This window comes from Homo sapiens, chromosome 14 (assembly GCF_000001405.40).
Source record: "Homo sapiens chromosome 14, GRCh38.p14 Primary Assembly".
NCBI classification, from domain to species: Eukaryota; Metazoa; Chordata; class Mammalia; order Primates; family Hominidae; genus Homo; species Homo sapiens.
The window spans coordinates 70,899,855-70,919,239 of NC_000014.9; the positions used below are offsets into that span (position 1 = coordinate 70,899,855).

General features: G+C 42.6%; 1 protein-coding gene across 15 annotated transcripts in view, besides 3 other annotated features; it reads left to right on the plus strand.

Moving 5' to 3' along the window:
- Positions 7,508-7,697: a silencer, noted in NCBI's record as "silent region_5893". NCBI's record gives its function as "represses an Ori minimal core promoter by ATAC-STARR-seq in GM12878 lymphoblastoid cells {active_cell/tissue: GM12878}" and the evidence as "EXISTENCE:reporter gene assay evidence [ECO:0000049][PMID:35858748]".
- PCNX1 (pecanex 1) overlaps positions 7,605-19,385 on the plus strand; it is a 207,924-nt gene continuing 196,143 nt past the window's right edge. For all 15 annotated transcript variants that reach the window (XR_245673.5, XR_007063992.1, XM_005267420.5 and 12 more), the window contains exon 1: positions 7,605-8,149. Coding sequence is in view for 13 of the 15 variants with exons in the window: in XM_005267420.5 (XP_005267477.1) it covers positions 7,997-8,149 (153 nt within the window). In the remaining 2 variants the exon portion in view is untranslated. The remainder of the gene's footprint in view (positions 8,150-19,385) is intronic.
- Positions 7,918-8,257: a silencer, noted in NCBI's record as "silent region_5894". NCBI's record gives its function as "represses an Ori minimal core promoter by ATAC-STARR-seq in GM12878 lymphoblastoid cells {active_cell/tissue: GM12878}" and the evidence as "EXISTENCE:reporter gene assay evidence [ECO:0000049][PMID:35858748]".
- Positions 8,418-8,757: a silencer, noted in NCBI's record as "silent region_5895". NCBI's record gives its function as "represses an Ori minimal core promoter by ATAC-STARR-seq in GM12878 lymphoblastoid cells {active_cell/tissue: GM12878}" and the evidence as "EXISTENCE:reporter gene assay evidence [ECO:0000049][PMID:35858748]".

Genomic DNA, 19,385 nt, shown 5'->3' on the forward strand with positions numbered 1-19,385 from the left:
TCTCACATGTTCTGCTAGGGACATTCAGTACACAGATAATCACATAAAATACATTCTTTTCTCTTATGACAAGTGCTGTTATATACTTTTTTCCACATATATATATATATATATATATATATATTTTTTTTTTTTTTTTTTTTTTTTTGAGACAGGATCTCACTTTGTCACCCAGGCTTGGGTGCAGTGGCATGATCTCAGCTCACTGCAGTCTGGACCTCTTGGGCTCACATGATCCTTGCACCTCAGCCACCCAGGTAGCTGGGACTGCAGGCATGCACCATGACACCCAGCTAATTTTTTGTATTTTTTTTTTTTTGGTAGGGATGTGGTTTCACCATGTTGTCCAGGCTGGTCTTGAACTCCTGAGCTCAAGCGATCTGCCTGCCTCAGCCTCCCAGAGTGCTAGGATTACAGGCGTGAGCCACGGCACCCAGCCACTTCACCATATATTTTAAAGATCAATCCTTATTAGTTCATTAAAAGATACTTCAGTATTCTATTGGCTGCTTGGAATTCTATCTTTTAATATCAAAAGATAGAAAACAATAGATGTTTATACTAATTCTTTATTTCAGAGATACCCAACACTGAGGGAGTTTTTCAGTACCCTATGTATAAAGCACCATAACTTAGATTATATGTTTGTTTCTTTGTTTTTGGAGATATTGTCTCATTATGTTGCCTCGGCTGGTCTCACCTTCCTGGGCTCAAGTGATCATGCCGTCTCAACCTCCCAAGTAGCTGGAATATCAGCGTGCACCATGGCACCTGGCTCTAGGATTATGTTTTTTTTTTTTTTTTTTTTTGAGATGGAGTCTTGCTCTGTCACCCAGGCTGGAGTGCAGTGGCACGATCTCGGCTCACTGCAAGCTCCGCCTCCTGGGTTCATGCCATTCTCCTGCCTCAGTCTCCCGAGTAGCTGGGACTACAGGCATGTGCCACTATGCCCAGCTAATTTTTTGTATTTTTAATAGAGATGGGGTTTCACCGTGTTAGCCAGGATAGTCTCAATCTCCTGACCTCGTGATCCGCCCGTCTTGGCCTCCCAAAGTGCTGGGATTACAGGCGTGAGCCACCGCACCTGGCTGGGATTCTGTGTTTAATAGAAGATTTTGACTTGGGGTCATTCATGGACTATATACACATTGAGAAACACTTGTCATAGGACCTAAAAATATAATGAGTTTACAGGAAGGAAATGTTGAGAGAAACGGAGCAAGAAAACTGGAGGAACAGGGAGGTTTTACTTTGTGTCCTGATCTTTACTGATTTGAGAGATTTTATACTGATATGTATCACCCTCCTATGATGTATATACAAAACATATTATTTGTACATAATTAGAAAATACTTATGTATATTAACAGCCACTGAATCCTGGTGACAGTAGGTGAGGCAAAACAAAACAAAAACCCAGCTAAAAATCAAAAACCCCAAACAGACAAAAAAAAAAACTAATAAGAAATATGTTCCCATGTGCTGTCAAGGTTTCCATAAAGAAAGCAGTGAAAAATCTCCAAGGGAAAGATCTTTTTATGATGTCATTGGAATGTTATTTTTGTCATTAGAAAAAAGCTCCAGCCATCAAAATGAAATGCAATGAGTCTGCAACCTTGAATTCCCCAGGACTCTTCAATTCTGCTCGGATTCCTTGACTAGGGGCTAGGACTAATTTAGAAAGTAGCAGAAGGTGGATTAAAACACAGATTCATCTGATTCCAGCCCCCAGGCCCTTTCCATTATGAACACCACCTTCTCACCAAGGAATGTTCCTGGTGTTCCTTGCCAGAGGAGCCAGACATCTGGCCTCCAAAGGTGACAACTCTCACTTCTACTTAGCTACAGGGAGGCGCTCTGGATGACACTGGTAGCTACTAATACAGGGGGTGAACTCTTCAGAGAATCATCCAGCCACATCAGTTGGCCTAGTAGGTCCTGTTGGAATTATGCTACCCCAGCTGAAATAGAAAGATAAACAAGGCTGGGAGCACTGGCTCACGCCTATAATCCCACCACCTTGAGAGGCTGAGGCAGGCAGATCACTTGAGGTCAGGAGTTTGAGGCCACCCTGGCCAACATGGTGAAACCCCGTCTCCACCAAAAAATACAAAAATTAGCTGGGCGTAGTGGTGCTCTCCTGTAGTCCCAGCTACTCAGGAGTCTGAGACGTGAGAATCATTTGAACCCAGGAGGCGGAGGTTGCAGAGTTGAGATCGCGCCACTGCACTCCAGCCTAGGTGACGGAGTGAGAACCTGTCTCAAAAAAAAAAAAAAAAAGATAAACAAGCTCTTTCATATGATATAGTGAAGCACATTAGACATCAGACTGACATAGAAGAATCTTTTAATGTCAAAAGATGAAAAACAATTCATGTGTATATTATTTTTAATTTAGGGATTCACAATATCTGGGGAGTTTCGCAGTATCTTGCATGCTTTCCCTTTCCTTTCATTGCCCTGCTCCCAAAGTGTGGTAAGTTTAAGAAAAGTGAATTGGTTTTTTGAGACATGACAGAAGACACTCTCAGGATGACACAAAACCATAACAAGAATTACTAAAGTAGTTGGTGTCACTAAAAACATATTTTAAATTACTCATATGGAGTTGACATTTAAAAAAAGGAGATTGGGTTGAGATTTCCAAGAAGAATCATCTCCTAGTTAGTAAGAAAGTCTTTTATTTTCACTTGTTTAGCTTCATATCCAGATGATGGTATTTTATAATTATATTATGTGAGATTTGGGAAGTTTCCATTTGATATTTATTTTCCTGATGTGATCTAAAGCAGTACACAGCAAATGGCTAAAAGAGATCCACAGAAGAATTCTGGGGCACTTCTTTTTTTTCTTTTCTTTCCTTTTTTTTTTTTTTTTTTTTTGTGACAGGGTCTAAGTCTGTCACTGAAGCTGGAGTGTGCAATCACAGCTCACTGCATCCTTGACCTCCCAGGCTCAGGTGATCCTCCTGCTTTAGCATCCTGCGTAGCTGAGACCACAAGCTTGCGCCACCATGCCCAGCTAATTTTTGTATTTTTTGTAGAGATGGGGTTTCGCCATGTTGCCCAGGCTGGTCTCGTACTCCTGGGCTCAAGTGATCTTCTCAGCTAGGCTTTCCAAAGTGTTGGGATTATAGGTGTGAGTCACCACGCCCAGCCTTCTCTTCCAAATTCTCTTCACCTTCATTTCATATTATTTTTTCCTTCCTTGAACTGCTATTCTAAGCTGGTGAAATGCTTTGAAATGTTGAAGAATTACCAAATGAATGATGAAACAGATTAGGCCGGGCACGGTAGCTCACGCCTATAATCCTAGCACTTTGGGAGGCCGAGGCGGGTGGATCACCTGAGGTCAGAAGTTCAAGACCAGCCTAGTCAACATGGTGAAACCCTGTCTCTACTAAAAATACAAAAATTAGCTGGGCGTGGTGGCGCGTGCCTGTAATCCCAGCTATTCAGGAGGCTGAGGCAGGAGAATCGCTTGAACCCGGGAAGTGGAGGTTGCAGTGAGTCGAGATTGCGCCATTGCACTCCAGCCTGGGCAACAAGAGCAAGACTCCATCTCAAAAAAAAAAAAAAGAAAAGAAAAAAAGAAAAAACAGATTAAAATCTCTAATTGGAAAGCCATTGGTTTCTGTGCTTTGTTTAATCAATGTATATGAACTGAGTGTTAATTGATGCTAACAGCTTTCTCTGCTAGGCCCTGTGGAACATGCTGAGAAGTGCCTTGCCCTCAAGGAATGTACAGTTTAGATGGAGGGATTTGAAGTAGCACATAATTAAACGCTAAATGAGTGGAACATGTGAGTGCTCTAGGCTGTTCAAAAAATAGAAGAATGGGTTTGGAGTAGACGTAGTGGATTTTAGCAGGCAGGTGGAGGGGTAATGTTTTCTAAGTAAGGCAAATGGTGTCAGTAAAAGCACAGAGGCAGAAATTAATAAATGAGTGGGCTGATAAACATAAATAGTTATACTGATATTCACCAATAAAAAGGGTTCATGCTGGGGAGTAGCGGCAGTTAAGTTGGAGAAAATAGTGATTCAGGTTGCTGGGGTCTTTGCCCGGCTAAGGAGTATCCCTTTAGTCCTGAAGGGAATTAAAGGCTTTTAAGAAAAGTGGATTAGGGAGATTAATTTGTTAGTGGAAGGTAGAATGGTTTAGAAGAGGAGAAATTGGTGGTAATAGCAGACTGCTGGGTACGACTTGATGAGGGGATTCTCCAGAACGGTTGATCTGGCAACGTAAGGGAAGGGTTGAGCAGGAGAAAGCCTGTGGAGACTAGACACTGGGGAAGGATATATGAGGTTCCAAGTCTGAGTGAGCTGGAAAATGTTGGTTTCACGAAGACAAAGAAGAGGCGCAGGACTGGGGGAAGACATGGATACTTACTGCGTCTGGATCATTGGCAGGACATGTGGGCCATAATGTCTAAAACAGATAATTGCCACACAAAAATGGATCAGAGCTGCAGTTTGCATGACTCTGCTCCAAGGTGGGCTTGGGTGGGGTTATTAGATTTCGTACATTCAGCTTTGTCCTTTTCAGGCAGGAGACAGCATCTGCTGTCGAGTACTCTCAGTCCCCAGGAGGCCTATGAGCTAGTCAGAAAATATAATTTTAATAGGATTAGCTGAGAGATGAGCAAATGTCAAATGGTGATTTGGTAGTATGTCATGGCTGCTAACTTTGACATGCTAAGTGTAACATTATTAATGGCTTCTATGCATGGCTAAGAGGGTTAACACTTAGCAAAATTAGTTCCCTGGATTTTTGTCCTGCTGTTATATTTTATGGGCATGATGGAGTGTGCTACCTTGAGTAAACCATTTAACCTCTCTCTGCCTTAGCTTCTAGTTTATAAAATAGGAAGCTTGTTGTGGCAGGCAGTATTCACAAACATTTTGAGAGCTACAGAGAGCGCTGTAGGATTGTCTTTCTCCCCGCCCCCTCATTCCCCCCCATCCACCCCGTCCCAATGACTGAGTCAGTCATTTGGAAAGGTCAGCTTTTTCACTGGATACTCTCAATTGCTACTCCCTAAGTCAGTTAATTAGTATTTTTCTAAAATGCTCCTACCAGTCCAGAGCTGAAAGATGTAGTCTCTAACTGCTGTTTCTACTCTCTGGGCCTGCCAATCCTGCTAACCCCTTTTCACCCAATGGCTATTGCCATGTGACTCACACCTCAGGTTCTGGGATCAATCCCAGTCATTTTGGAGGGCAACTAGAGCTTTATATTAACACTCTGGGACTTCAACATAAGGCAACCATGCTCAGTGTGAAGTTTGGTCCTAGTTCTAGGTATTAGGCTCCTGCTTTGTTTGTAAGTCTCACTCTGTCCCCCCAGATCCAGCCTTTGAATATTTGTTTTGTCCTGCTGGGTCCTCAAACTTGGGCCTCCAGTGAGTATCTCAGTAGCTCAAGGATCTGAGTTCTATTTGTTTTCATCAATTCCCTGTAGAAACGAAAGGGCAGACCTAGAAAACCCCAGCACTGAAGCTGGGGCCTTGCTATAAGCAACACACTTTCTCAAGGCTTGCCGTGATTTCCCAATTTTTGCCCACTCCTGGATTTTCCAAGGCTATGTGTTCCAGCTGTCCATTGGCTTACAACACCCACATTCTCTGTTTAACAGGCCTGATGCCGGCTGCCTTCCTGGCCTGCTGCCGGTTCCATATCCTCCAGATACTGCATTCTGGCTGAACGTTTATCACGCCAGCTGGGTTGGCCTCCGATTCCACGGATGTATCTGGTTCTAGTTTCCATTTCTCCCCATCCACCTCACCCTCATTACAGTTAATCCTTTTATATTAAACCATAGCGGATCTTTGCTGTTGTGGAAACTGATGTGGTATTGGAATTTTATCCTTGTTTACATCTTTCTTTGTGTTGGAAAGGTTGGGATTACTTCCAAAACCTTCCCAGAGAGCTTTCCTGTCTCCTTTAGGGGAAACAAATGAAAACTTGACAATAGCTGGTATCTATGACACCAGCTTCAAGGCCACTATTTTAATTGTAAAATTGCATTATTTAATCATAATTTTGCTTTTAGATATACAAATATATTTTAAAGTATATTTTGTCCAGTGTTTACTCACAGCTCTCAATTTCAAGGTATCTTACTGGAACTCAGTGGCTTTGTGGTTATAAGGACATAAACAAATCAAGGCTAGGGATGGTGTGGTGTTCTACAGTGGTAAGCTACATTAGAATCCTCCGGAGGACTTGTTAAAACAGATTGCTGGGTACCACCCCACAGAGTGTCTATAGAATGATGCCCTAAGAATTTGCACTTTGACGAAAACTGGTCATGTATTTAAGCTGGTCACAGATAACCAGAAGGTGCTGAACTGTTCTTAATCAATTCAAACTTTTACCTGAAATGGATAATAAGGTGGAGAGCCTTGAGAAATGAACTTCCAAAGTTCAGTGCATGCAGTTAGCATGACTGCTGGTTTTAGAGTTCTCAACCACTTATTGCTTATGAGCAATAAGTGGCCATAAGCATTTGGCCAATCACTTACTTGAGTTTACAGGTTTTCTCATCCATAAAATAACAATAGCTGCTATGCTGCCCTCAAAGGGTTGTCCTGAGGTCTGAATGGAATGGGTGTGATAGTGTCTGAGCAACTATAAAGTGGTATGGCACTGGGAGGTATTGTAACGGTTTTTCATTACTCTTCTTAAAATATCACCAGTTTCCTTTGGCTCTTGTTTCCCTCATTAATTATAGCAACTGTAATCTGGGAATACACAGTACTTTTATTGCCATAAAAGCCAAACTTCAATAAACTCAAATTTCAAACTTTTCTATAAAATTTTATTCAGTGAGATCAGACACGCCTTATAAACATTACACAGAGCCAAGAATGATTCCGTTTTTACAGCTATAAAAAGAGATCTACAAGACCCTATTGTAATTTGGGGTGGCGTCACGGTTAATCTTTTTCAACCCTGTTTAGATTGGCCCATTAATAAAAATGGCTGCTAGTTACAGCACATTTAAAAATACAATCACCGCGTACAAATGGTAACCTGTCCACTCCATACTTCCATGTCCTGTGCCGCTTCTATTAACTTGTCTTTGGAAGTAGTAAATTCTCCCAGTCTGGACGTGGCTATTTTTTCTCACACACGGGCCAACACAGTTCTTGCTCAACTTGGGTGCGTTTATGACTTTTCAACAGTGTCATCAGCCGTACCTAACTCTTCCAGGCCTTCAGTATCTCAGGTGTTAGCTTCAGTTGTTCCTAGGTCTTTCACAAATATCATAAATGACAGGCAGGACGCTTTTCTGGAGTCAAGATCTGTTAGTTTCGGAGTCAGAAAGACCCCGTTTAGAGACTCGTAGGCGAACTTGCCAGGGGGCCTACCAGGGGCAGAATGGGGTCCTCCGGACCAGCCAGCCGCGTCTCAGCCACCTCCGCAGCCCCCGGGGCCCTGAACCCCGGCCGCGTTGACGCGCGCTTCTCCCGGACGTCGGCAGGAGGCGCCCGCGGCGGACCAGGCGCGGCGCGCACCGTAGCCGGCCCAGGGGGCGGAGGGAGCGGAGAGGAGGAGCTGGAGGGGGCGCGGCTTCCTCTCGGTCGCTCCCTGGCGCCGGGCCTCTTTCTCTGCCTGGCCCAGGGCTGGCGGCCGGCGGGGGTCGCGGCGGCGGCAGTGGGGGCGCTGGCGGGCCGCGGGTGGCGGGGGCCGGGCCGCGGCTCCGGGTGTTAGGAGACAAGATGGCGGCGGCTCTCAGAAGGCCGGTCTCCTCCTCTCCGCCGTCCTCCGCCCCGCCGCTCGCCGCCTCCTCCTCTCGGGTCTCCTCCTCCTCGTTTGCTGCCTCCTCCTCCTCCTGCAGCAGCACCAGCGACCGCCGAAGCGCCGGCTCGCTCACCCGGAGCTCCGGAGGTGGATAGACGGGGCAGCTGCAGGCTCCGGCGACCGAGGCCGAGCTGGGGCCGGGGCGGGGACGGCGGCGGCGGCGGCGGCGACGGCGGCGGCGCCGGGTGGGGATGGGGTCGCAGACGCTGCAGATCCTCCGACAGGGGGTGTGGGCCGCGCTCAGCGGGGGCTGGTACTACGACCCGCACCAGGCCACCTTCGTGAACGCGCTGCACCTCTACCTGTGGCTCTTTCTGCTGGGCCTGCCCTTCACCCTCTACATGGTGAGTGTGGGGGCGGGGAGCGGGTGGCTCCTTCCCCGCGAGCCGGTGGGGAGATGCTGGGGTCGCGCCCTCTTCCTCTTCCACGGGGTCTCGTCCCCCGGGGGCCGCCACCCTCTCGGTGTGAGGCTCCCCGCCCCCACTGCGTGCTCCCACTCCTCTCTTCGGGGCTTTCCTGGTTTCGGAGGTGACACGAGCAACGAGCCCACGGCAACCCGCGCCGGCCGCCCCCGCCCGCTCACTGGGAAGCGGCAGCGTCCTAGGCCCCTTCTCGGGGTTCCCTCCTGCGGCCACTCGGCTAGGCCGTCCCCGCCGGGGCCCCCCGCCCGTGGGGCTGTGTGGCAGGCGCCGAGCGCTCTGCGGCTTTAGGGGACGCCGCATCCATCCTTGGCACGCTGGGTTCCTCGGGCGCCCGGCATCCGGCACTGCCCGCCCCCGCCGCGGCCCTCGTCCGGGGCTCCCGGGAGAGGCCGCCCGCCGCCTCGCCGCTAATCCGCGTGCGGAGCCCCGGGAGCGCGGGGGACCGTGCGGCTCTGCTCCGAGTGTGTGTGGGGGTCGTCCGGGCTCGTCCTCCAGGGGTCCTGGGTGGTGGCTGAAAACCCGGCTCGGAACCCTCCTGCCTCTAAAAAACCGTTGTTGTGCTTCGCAGCGGTTCTTCTCTGTTCGGCCCCGTGGCCGGTGGCCGTGGTGCTTCCTGGCCTCCCTGGGGGGAGGGAGCGGGGAGATAACGGGGAATCTGGCTGGCATTTCAGCAGATTTGTTTGGCTTGGTTCAAGGCCTTTGGCGGATAGGAGTAGGGAGAGAGAGTACTGCCTGTTGCTGAATTCGGTGCGATCAGCTTCTCTGAATCATCTGTGTTTTTAAAGCAACATTGAAAGTTGTTAAGCGCAGTTTCTAAAGCACAGGTTAGGGTGGGGCGTTAGGGAAACTCGTGTGGACAGAGATGTTACTTAAGGCTTCATATAAAATTTTAAAGTAGTCAGAGGGGAGGAAAGGATCTGAACTTTTTATTTTAGGAGAATTCCTTTGAATGTATTTCTGCTAACTTTGAGGTTCTTTGTGGAGCTAGAGACAGGGTGCTGAGTTAGAAAATCCCGGAGGACCACTATGAGAAGTGCAAAAGGTGAGGACACCCAATTCTTCCCTAAGTGAAGTTCAGTTTCACTAATTGGCAGGAAAAGTGTCTGCTTGAGGGAAGATGTGCACATTCTCAAGCAGATTCACATTTTTCGTTGAAATTGTTTTGAAGGGACTTATTGTTTGAGGTTAAAAAAAAAAGCCATTAAGAAATGCTGATGGCTTGTGGCTTGTTTTATTAGGGGGACTTGTTCAGTCTTGTTGCATTCTGAAAATTTATCGTGAAGTATTATAATTTTCAATTAATTTTGGCCTAGGGAGTTCTATTTGCACTACTATACCTTCCAGGAATATGACATCATTAATGAACGGGTTAATTACTTTGGGTTTAAGAATCCTCAGGCTGTCACAAAATTTTCAAAGCAAATTTCTTCTATGTCCAGAAGAATTGTAGATTTAAAACTGAAAATGATTTTTGAGAGGTAAGGATTAGTTGCTGGGTCCAGTGTAAGATTTCTTTTTTAACACTTGTAGTAAACTGTGTGGTCATGGTTAAGTCTCTTTGTGTAGTTAGCAAATGTTACTGAAAGAATATTAGAGCAAATGGAAACCAGGACATTGAGTTTACTTCCTTCATTTTGGGAGTTCAGTTAAACTGAATTCTCACATATTTGAGTGTCTACCATGTACTAGACACTTTCTGAGATTGCTTCTGACTTCCTTATCTCAATTAATGGCAGTCCCACTCTTCCCAAACCAGAAGGTGCTGAGCTGTTCTTAATCAGTTCAGACCTTTACCTGAAATGGATAATAAGATGGAGAGCCTTGAGAAATGAACTTCCAAAGTTCAGTACATGCGGTTAGCATGACTGCTGGTTTTAGAGTTCTCAGCCACTTATTGCTTATGAGCAATAGGGGCTGTATCTTCAAAACCTAACTAGACGACGACTCCTCCCTCCTCCTCCTCCTCCTCCTCCTCCTCCTCCCCCTCCTCCTCCTCCTCCTCCTCCTCCTCCTCCCCCTCCTCCTCCCCCTCCTCCTCCTCCCCCTCCTCCTCCTCCCCCTCCCCCTCCTCCCCCTCCTCCTCCTCCTCCTCCTCCTCCTCCTCCTCCTCCTCCTCCTCCTCCTCGTCCTCCTCCTCCTCCTCCTCCTCTCACCAGCACCATCATCATCACGGCCATCAGGCCATCATCATTCCCTTGGTTCGTCACCATTCTCTCTCCTGGATTATTGCAGTACTTTAATGAGGTTCAATGCTTTTGTTCTTTATTCTCCACACAGACGCCTCTGTGATTCTTTCAGATCATGTCATTCTTCTGCTCTCAGGGCCTGCCCTCTCCTGTGTCTCTCTTGTCTCAACCACACACACATTTGCCGCCTTACTCTTCTTGCCAAGAAGTATGTTCCTGCTTCAGCGCCTTTGTGCTTGCTTTTCCCTCTGTCTGGATGACTCCTCTTTTCCAGATACCTGTGTGGCTGCTCCACTTTTTGCAGGTTCTCATATACGTGAGGCTTTCTCTGATAGCCTATGTGAAATAGCAACTTCCCCAGCTCTCACAAGACTCCATAGCCCACCTTTTAAAATAGTATGGTATTTATTCCTAACTGATATCTATTTATTTGTTTTTATGTCTTTCTTATCTTATTAGAATATAAGCTCTGAGAGGGCAGGAACTTAGTTTCGTTCACTGCTGTATTTTTAGGACCTAGATTAGTGTAAAGCACATGTAGTACTCCGATGAATGATTGAGAAGTGCACAAGACACAGCTTCTGCTTTCAAGGAACTTAAAATCTAGCCTGGGGGTAATGAGTTGTTACTGTTAGAACTGCTAGGAAAGGGTAAGTAAAGAGGGACCCTGATCTTATAGTCAGGGGATGAACCCTAGACCAGGGGTGGTCAGGACAGAGAATTTGTAAACATTTTAGGAAACATACTAGTAAAAGGTAGATAGTTTGAAGTATACACCAAAAATAAAGCAAAATCCAACATTTTGTGTTAAAATCTCAGACAGCCATAGGTTATTATTTGCATGCTCTTACAATAATAACTGTAAGTGATAATGACTGTTTTAAAAGTACATGTATAGGTTCTTTAACCCCGTGACCTCATGAGGTTTTGCTGTTAGTAGGCAAGTTGTGAGCTGGGATTTACACAGAGCTTTCTGAAGGCAAAGTCACTGTACAGGCTGCCTTTTATTTATTCCCCCCCAAAAAGTGCCTAAATCTGTGGAGAGATCGTACATTAAGTTAGGAAACAGTCTTAGGACTTTATAGGATTCAAACACTTTTGGTGTTTATTTAGGAGCATTTGTGGATACTTTGAAAGGTGGACTCTATATACATCAACTAGTTAAAAATCTTTTAAGTAGTGAAAATGAAGAAAAAATTTTTGTTTCTTAATTCTGATTGTCCTGTCTGTTTCCTTTAAGGTACTCATTCTTTTTTATCTAGTTACAGTGATTTTTGTACATGTCACAGATGATGAGATTTTTGGGGGTGAGTGGCATTTTTGTATGGTGGAAAGCAGATTGGAATTAGTGTCTTGATTTTTGAATCTTGGCTTTGTTATTGATTGTGTGTCCTGTGGGCAAGACTCCACCTTTCTGAACCTTGATTTACTCATTTGTGAGATATTTCATGGGTGTTTTTCAAGAAAATATTTATGAAATAGAAGAAATTATTTACCTTCAGAATGGCCTTCAGTAAATGTCATTTGAAAAAATGGCTAATTGGAAGTGTTTCCTCTATAATGCTGTATGACTGTAGGAGACTAAATAGCTCTGGATTATTAAGTCAAATCATTTTCATAACATATTGCTCAATATATTGTTTTCCTCTGTAAAGCAATATATCCCTAGGTGATGAAATAGAACATTAAAATTTATGGCTGGGCGCGGTGGCTCACGCACTTTGGGAGGCCGAGGCAGGCAGATCATCACGAGGTCAGGAGATCCAGACCATCCTGGCTAACACGGTGAAACCCCGTCTCTACTAAAAAAACAAAAAATTAGCCGGGCATGGTGGCGGGCGCCTGTAGTCCCAGCTACTCGGGAGGCTGAGGCAGGAGACTGTTGTGAACCTGGGAGGCAGAGCTTGCAGTGAGCCAAGATTGTGCCACTGCACTCCAGCCTGGGCGACAGAGCGAGACTCTGTCTCAAAAAAAAAAAGAAAAAAGAAAAAAAAGAACGTTAAAATTTATTACGTAAGTGGTTCCCAGACTCCTCCAGTTGACATCAGAATCACTTGACAATGTTAATGATGTGCAAGCCCTTTCTTATTCGGTAGATCTGGAGTGTGGCCTATTGATTTGTATTTTATAAACATTCTAGGTAAGTTTAAATAACTTGATCAATATTCCTAACTACCAGCCCCTGACTGACATCCAGCTGCTACTCAACGTACCTCTTGGCTGTCTCACAGGCATCCCAAAAGTATCATGCCCAAAAGCTTCTGAATTCCCCCCTAAACAACACTGCCACAAAATGTTTTTCCTCACTCTGTCATGTTAGTTAATGGCACTGTCTGTATCTAGTTGCTTATCCCCCACCCCTTGCTTTTGAGCAAATCTTACCACTTTCTGCTCAGAGGAAAAGACATAAATCTGTGTCATTCTTTTAAATATTCTTTAAAGATTTTCTTTGGCACTTAGAAAAAAATCCAGAATCTTTATTAAGCCACCAGAGCTTATTCTGCCTTTGTTTACAGTTTGTGCAGTTTTCCCACTGTGCTGTAGTCACACTGGCCTTTCTGTTACTTTAGCCCACTGAGCCTTTTCCTCCTGTGAGACCTTTGCACGTGTTGTGCCTTCTGAAAGGATACTCTTCCTTCTTGCTCTTTGCAAGGCTGGCTGCTACTTAATCTTTAGGGCTGGACTTCAGTATTATCCCCTCACAGAGGCTGAGCCTGATAACCATAAATAGGTTCCCTCTCTTTTTTTTCATCATTCCATTCCATAACTTTCTTCCATAGCACTTAACACAAACATATATTTTTTGTTTGTTTACTTGTTTGTCCTCTCGATCATCCTCCACTTCCATACCTTGTAAGTTCCATGAGGGCAGGGGCCAGGTCTGATTTACTCATCAGTGTTTATCAAGTGTCTGCATGACTGCCTGGCTCATATTAGGATCTGAAGAAGTATTTGTTGAATGAATTTTTTATTATACATGTGAAGCTTTTTTAGACTTGTTAACTGATGTAGAATAGTTGGAGGTGGAGGGAGGATTGTGGTAGGCTGTATCATATGGTGGAGCTGCTTACTTAGGGGTTAGGTTCGGTGTCAGTCTCTACAAGACAAAAATCAAATATAAAATTACTGAAAAATCAAATACAAAATGACCCTTGAAAAACACTTAAGTCATTGAAAGTGCAGTACGTATGGCTTTTTGTGCATACAGCTGTGTGGTTATACATACATACATGATATATACAGTAATATATACCACATAAATCTGTGGAGAGATTATATTCAGACTCTAAATCATTAACAAAATTTATAAAGGTTTCAACATTTTCTTCCTAGTTGTCTTCATTGTTTTCTGTAACTGATCTTTGTCATCTTTAGAATGATATATCTTTTATTAGTGAGGATTACGCTAAAGCTCTCAGGTCATTTTCTTTCCCCCAATTTAAAAGTATTTAAAGATCATTTTAAACAAGATTTAGTTAGGGTGACTAAAACAGGGATTTTCATATTTTAAAATTTATATTTCTCTAAAAGTTTAGATCAAGCTAGAAAAGTTACTGTGCTATAAATTAGCAATTTATATTGCTATTGCATATTGTACATATGATTTTTAAGTATTATTTTCTGCATCCTTTAGGGGAAGGTTAATGACTAGTGGATGGCCTGTTTAGATCTATTAGCCTGTGCCCTTTACCAGTATTTTCAATATTTAGGATCAAAGTGAGTCTAATTATTTCCATAACTGGTCATGGCACAGATATAACTCTTATGTATTATATTACCTATAATAAATTAAGGGTACACTGTCCAAAGATGGTTTACACAGAAAACCATCTACCACATGTTCTCACTTATAAGTGGGAGTTAAACATTTGGATACCCACAGATACAAAGAAGGGAACAATAAATACTGGGGATTCCAAAAGCGGGTAGGGGGCGAGGGTTGAAAAGCTATACATTGGCTACTGTGTTCACTACTTGGGTGACAGGATCATTAGAAGCCAAACCTCAGCATCACTTAATATGCCTATGTGACAAACCTGCACATGTACCTTGCTGAATCTAAAGGAAAAGAAAATTAGACCTCCAAGAAAGCAGCCATATTTGTCAATTTGTAGAAAAGTGTATTAATTTACAAAAAAAGCAGTTGATTTATAAAATGTTCTGTCTTTTGTGACGTAAAGGTGGAGTGTTTTCTCCCACTTGAAAATTACTCCAAATCATAAAATCATTTGGTGATTGGAAAACTAGGAAAGTTTCTATTTTTTTTCTAGCCTTTGAATACACAGATTCAGTCAGGTAATTTGCTTTCTCTAGCTGACTTTACTGAGAGTTAAATCTTTCAACATTTTATTAAAGAATTTTCAAACATATAGGAAAGTTGAGAAAATTGTACCCACCACCTGGATTCTGTGTTTTTAAATATTGTGTCTCTATCTGTTTTATTCCTCTATCTGTCCACCCTTTTTTAGGGAGATGCATGTAAATTAAGTTACACTTCTATACAAATCACCCCTAAACTCTTCAGCAGGTGCATTGTCAGGTAGGTTCTAAAGGCACAATCTTCAGTGAACCATTCGATGAGTTTTGATAAATGCACACGTTTGCGTAGTGTAGACTTGGCATGTTGTAGAATATCAGCGTCACTCCAGATAGTTTCTGCTTGACCTTCTGAGTCAGTCCTCTCATCCTTGTTCTGACTTTTTTTCATTATAAATTAGGTTATCCTGTTCTAGAATTTCATATAAATGGAATCATGTAGCACATGCTTTGTGTAAGCCACCTTCACTCAGCATAACGTGGTTGAGATTAATCCATGGTGTTGTATCAGTAGCTTTTTTCCTTTTTATTGCTGAGTAATATTCCTTTGTATGACTGTGCTACAGTTTGCTCACCTTTATCCATTCCCGTGTAGATGAGCAGCTAGGCTCTTCCCAGTTTTTGGCTACTATATGTAAAGATGCCAACATGAGGATAGGTTTTATCAGAACTCAAAGACACTGGAAAACTTTACGGAATCTCAAAACCCTTTTCTCTTTCCAAATAAGACCATGTTTTAATTTAAAAATCTTTTTGTTCAGCTGTTCTGATTTATTTGTCTAAATCAGAAATTATAGATAAGTAAAAAGAAAATACAGCCATTGGTAATTCCATCACCCCTGTCTGTAGAACATTTTAGTAACCAAAATATATTTGGAGTTTTAAATACTACTTTGATTACAAAAATGGGCTCATAGAATTCATACTGTTTTCAAGTCTCCTATTTTCACTTTAAATTATGAGTGTTTCCATGGGTTGGGGGTAAGTGGCTTTTTAATAGCTCTGCAGTAGATCATATGTGTTACAGTTTAATCATTTACCTCTTACTGGTTATGTAAGTCATTTCCAGGTTTTAGCTATTTAGAAAACAGTAGGGTGAATACTCTTGTAGTTAAATATTTGTACTAGTATTTTGTATAAATTCCTAAAAATAGACTTGTTGGATTATCTTCTTTGATAAATACTCATTTTACAAATACTGAGTGAATCTTTATATTGAGAGAGAATATAAATATGAGAATGAGAAATGGGTAGATAATGCAGGGTTCCTGGAATACAAAATAGGATTGTGGTCCAGAAAGCACATGTGTTAAAGGATTATCCTCAGAGCAGGAAGGAAGGAGGCAAGGATGAAGGGATAAAGGATGAAGGATGAAGGGATAAATCATGGAGGAAGGGATAAACAGTTCATGGGAAAAGTTGAGGTTCATCTTTTATGATTTATGTAATCTCCTTAGAGGACAAAGTGAGTGTGTTCTGTTGAGAGTGAAAGAGGAGGTGAAGAGGATATTTAAGGTTTGAGGGAGATCCCCCAAATGTGACATGCTATTCTTACTTTTGGTAAGTGGAAAAGTGAACTATCAAGGGATGGTAGGATTGTTGAACAATTTTGAAGGTATCTTTGAGATTGGAGAACATGAATTCAGAGTGTCGAAGAGGAATGTTCAGGAGAGAAATCTGGGGTAAAATTTACTTGCAAGTTATCAGCATGTAGATCTTCTGGGAAGAAAGTTTATCTCATTAAAAAGAAAATGGCCTTGGACAGAATTCCAAGGCCTAAACAGCATTTAGAAATCAGCAAAGGAAGACAGAGTTGTAAAATGAAGACGAAAAAAGAGCCAGGGAAAGAGAGTACAGGCGTACCTTGGAGATATTGCAAGTTTGGTTCCAGATCACTGCGATAAAGCGAATATTGCAATAAAATGAGTCACAAATTTTGTGGTTTTCCAGTGCATATAAAAGTTATATTTACATTATGCTGTAGTCTGTTAAGTGTGCGGTACCATTGTGTCTAAAAATACAATGTATATACCTTAATTAAAAAATACATTATTGCTTAAAAATATGCCAAGGATTATCTGAACCTTCGGCGAGTTGTCATTTTTTTGCTGGTGAAGGGTCTTGCCTAAGTGTTGTTGACAGACCAGGGGGTGACTGTTGAAGGTTGAGGTGGCTGTGGCAATTTCTTAAAATAAGACAACAATGAAGTTTGCAGCATCAATTGACTCTTCTTTTCATGAAAGATTTATCTGTACGTGTAATGCTGCTTGATAGCGTTTTACCCACAGTAAAACTTCTTTCAAAATTAGAGTCAGCTGTCTCAAATCCTGTTACTGCTTTGTCAGCTAAGTTGATGTAATATTCTAGATCTTTTGTTGTCATTTCAACAGTGTTCACAGCGTCTTCGCCAGGAGCAAATTGGATCTCAGGAAATCACTCTCTCTGCTCACCCATAAGAAGCAACTCCTCATCTTTTCAAGTTGTGTCATGAGATTACAGCAATCCAGTCACATCTTCAGGCTCTACTTCCAATTCTAGTTCTCTTTTTGTTTTCACCACATCTGTGGGATTTCCTCCACTGAAGTCTTAAACCCCTCAAAGTTATCCATGAGGGTTGGAATAAACTTCTTCCAAACACCTTGTCAATGTTAATATTTCTACCTCCCATGAATCATGTATGTTCTTAATGGCATCTAGAATGGTGAGACCTTTCCAGAAGGTTCTCAGTTTACTTCATCCAGATCCATCAGAGGAATCACTGTCTGACAGCCTTATGAAATGTATTTCTTAAATACTAAGACTTGATAGTCAAAATTACTCCTTGATCCATGGGGCTGGAGAATAGATGTTGTGTTAGCAGGCATGAAAACAACATTAATTTTCTTCTATGTCTCCATCAGAGCTCTTGGATAACTAGGTACCATGTCAAGGAGCAGTAGTATTTTGAAAGGAATCTTTTTTTCAGACCAGTAGGTCTCAAAGATGGGGTTAAAATATTTAGTAAACCATGCTGTAAACAGATGTGATGTCTTCTGGGCTTTATTGTTCCATTTATAGAACACAGGCAGAATAAATTTGGAATAATTCTTAAGGGCTCTTGGATTTTTGGAATGGCCAATGAGCATTGACTTTAACTTACAGTCACCAGTTGCATTAGACACTAGCAAAAGAGTCAGCCTGTCTTTTGAAGCTTTAAAGCCAGATATTGACTTAACCTTCTCTGGCTATGAAAGGCCTAGATGGCATATTCTTCCAGAAGGTTGTTTTATCTACACCAAAAATCTGTTGTTTGGTGTAGCCACCATCAGTGATCTTAGATCTTCTGGATAACTTGCTGCAGCTTCTACATCGGCACTTGTTGCTTCATGTAAACTTTTATGTTATGGCAACAGCTTTAACCTCATGAACCAACTTCTGCTAGAGTCAAATTTTCTTCAGCTTCCTCACCTCTTAGCCTTCATAGAATTGAAGAGAGTTGGGGCCTTGCTGTGGATTAGGCTTTTGGCTTAATTAAGGGAATGTTGTGGCTGGTTTGATCTTCTATTCAGACCACTCAAACTTTCTCCATATCAGCAATGTTATTCATTTGTGTGTTCACTGGAGTAGCACTTGTAATATTCTTCAAGAACTTTTCCTTTGCATTCAGAACTTGACTTTTGGTGCATGAGGATTAGCTTTCTACCTGTCTTGGCTTTTGATGTGCCTTTCTCACTAAATTTAATCATTTCCAGCTTTTTGTTTAAAGTGAGAGAAACGTGACTCTTCCTTTCACTTGAACACTCTTTACTATCGTCTGTGGGCAAGGTTGATGGTACTCCCATCAACAAATCTTTGATTTTACTATTTTATTTTAGAATTTACACTATTGTAATTCTAAAATAGTAAAATCAAAGATTACTGATTACAGATCACTGTAACAGATATAGTAAAGAAAAAGTATGAAATATTGAAGAGTTACCAAAATGTGACACACAGACAAAGTGAGCACATGCTGTTGGAAAAATGGTGCTGATAGAGACATGCTCCACAGAGGTGTCACAGCTTTTCAGTTTGTACAAAATGCAGTATCTGTGAAGCACCATAAAGCTAAGCACAACATAAGATCTGCCTGCATTTTGCAGAGGAGAATGGTTAAAAATGCCAAATTTTCTTCTAGGACTAGGTAGTGCTAATTTAAATCTCTGTCAACAGTATTGAGAGTACTTGTTTTCCCACTCTCACATAACACTTTTCCAAAACAGGGTGTTACTGTTATCAATTTCTTATTCAATGGAGTGTTCGTTTGTTGGTGGTTTTTTGGTTTTTTTTTTTTTTTTAGACAAAGTCTTTTTCATCGCCCAGGCTGGAGTACAGTGGTGTGATAATAACTCCCTTCAGCTTCAAACTCATAGGCTCAGTGGATCCTCCTGTCTCAGCTTTCTGAGTAGCTGGGACTGCAGGCCTGTGCCACCACAACTAGCTACTTTTTAAAATTTTTTTGTTGAGGCGGGGGTCTTGGTATGTTGCCCAGGCTGGTCTCAAACTCCTGGCCTCAAATGATCATTCTGCCTCAGCCTCCAGAGTCACTGGGATTACGGGCATGAGCCACTGCACCCGACTCAATGGACTATTTAATGAAACATCCAGTAATAAGTATCAGTAATATTTTGTCCTTG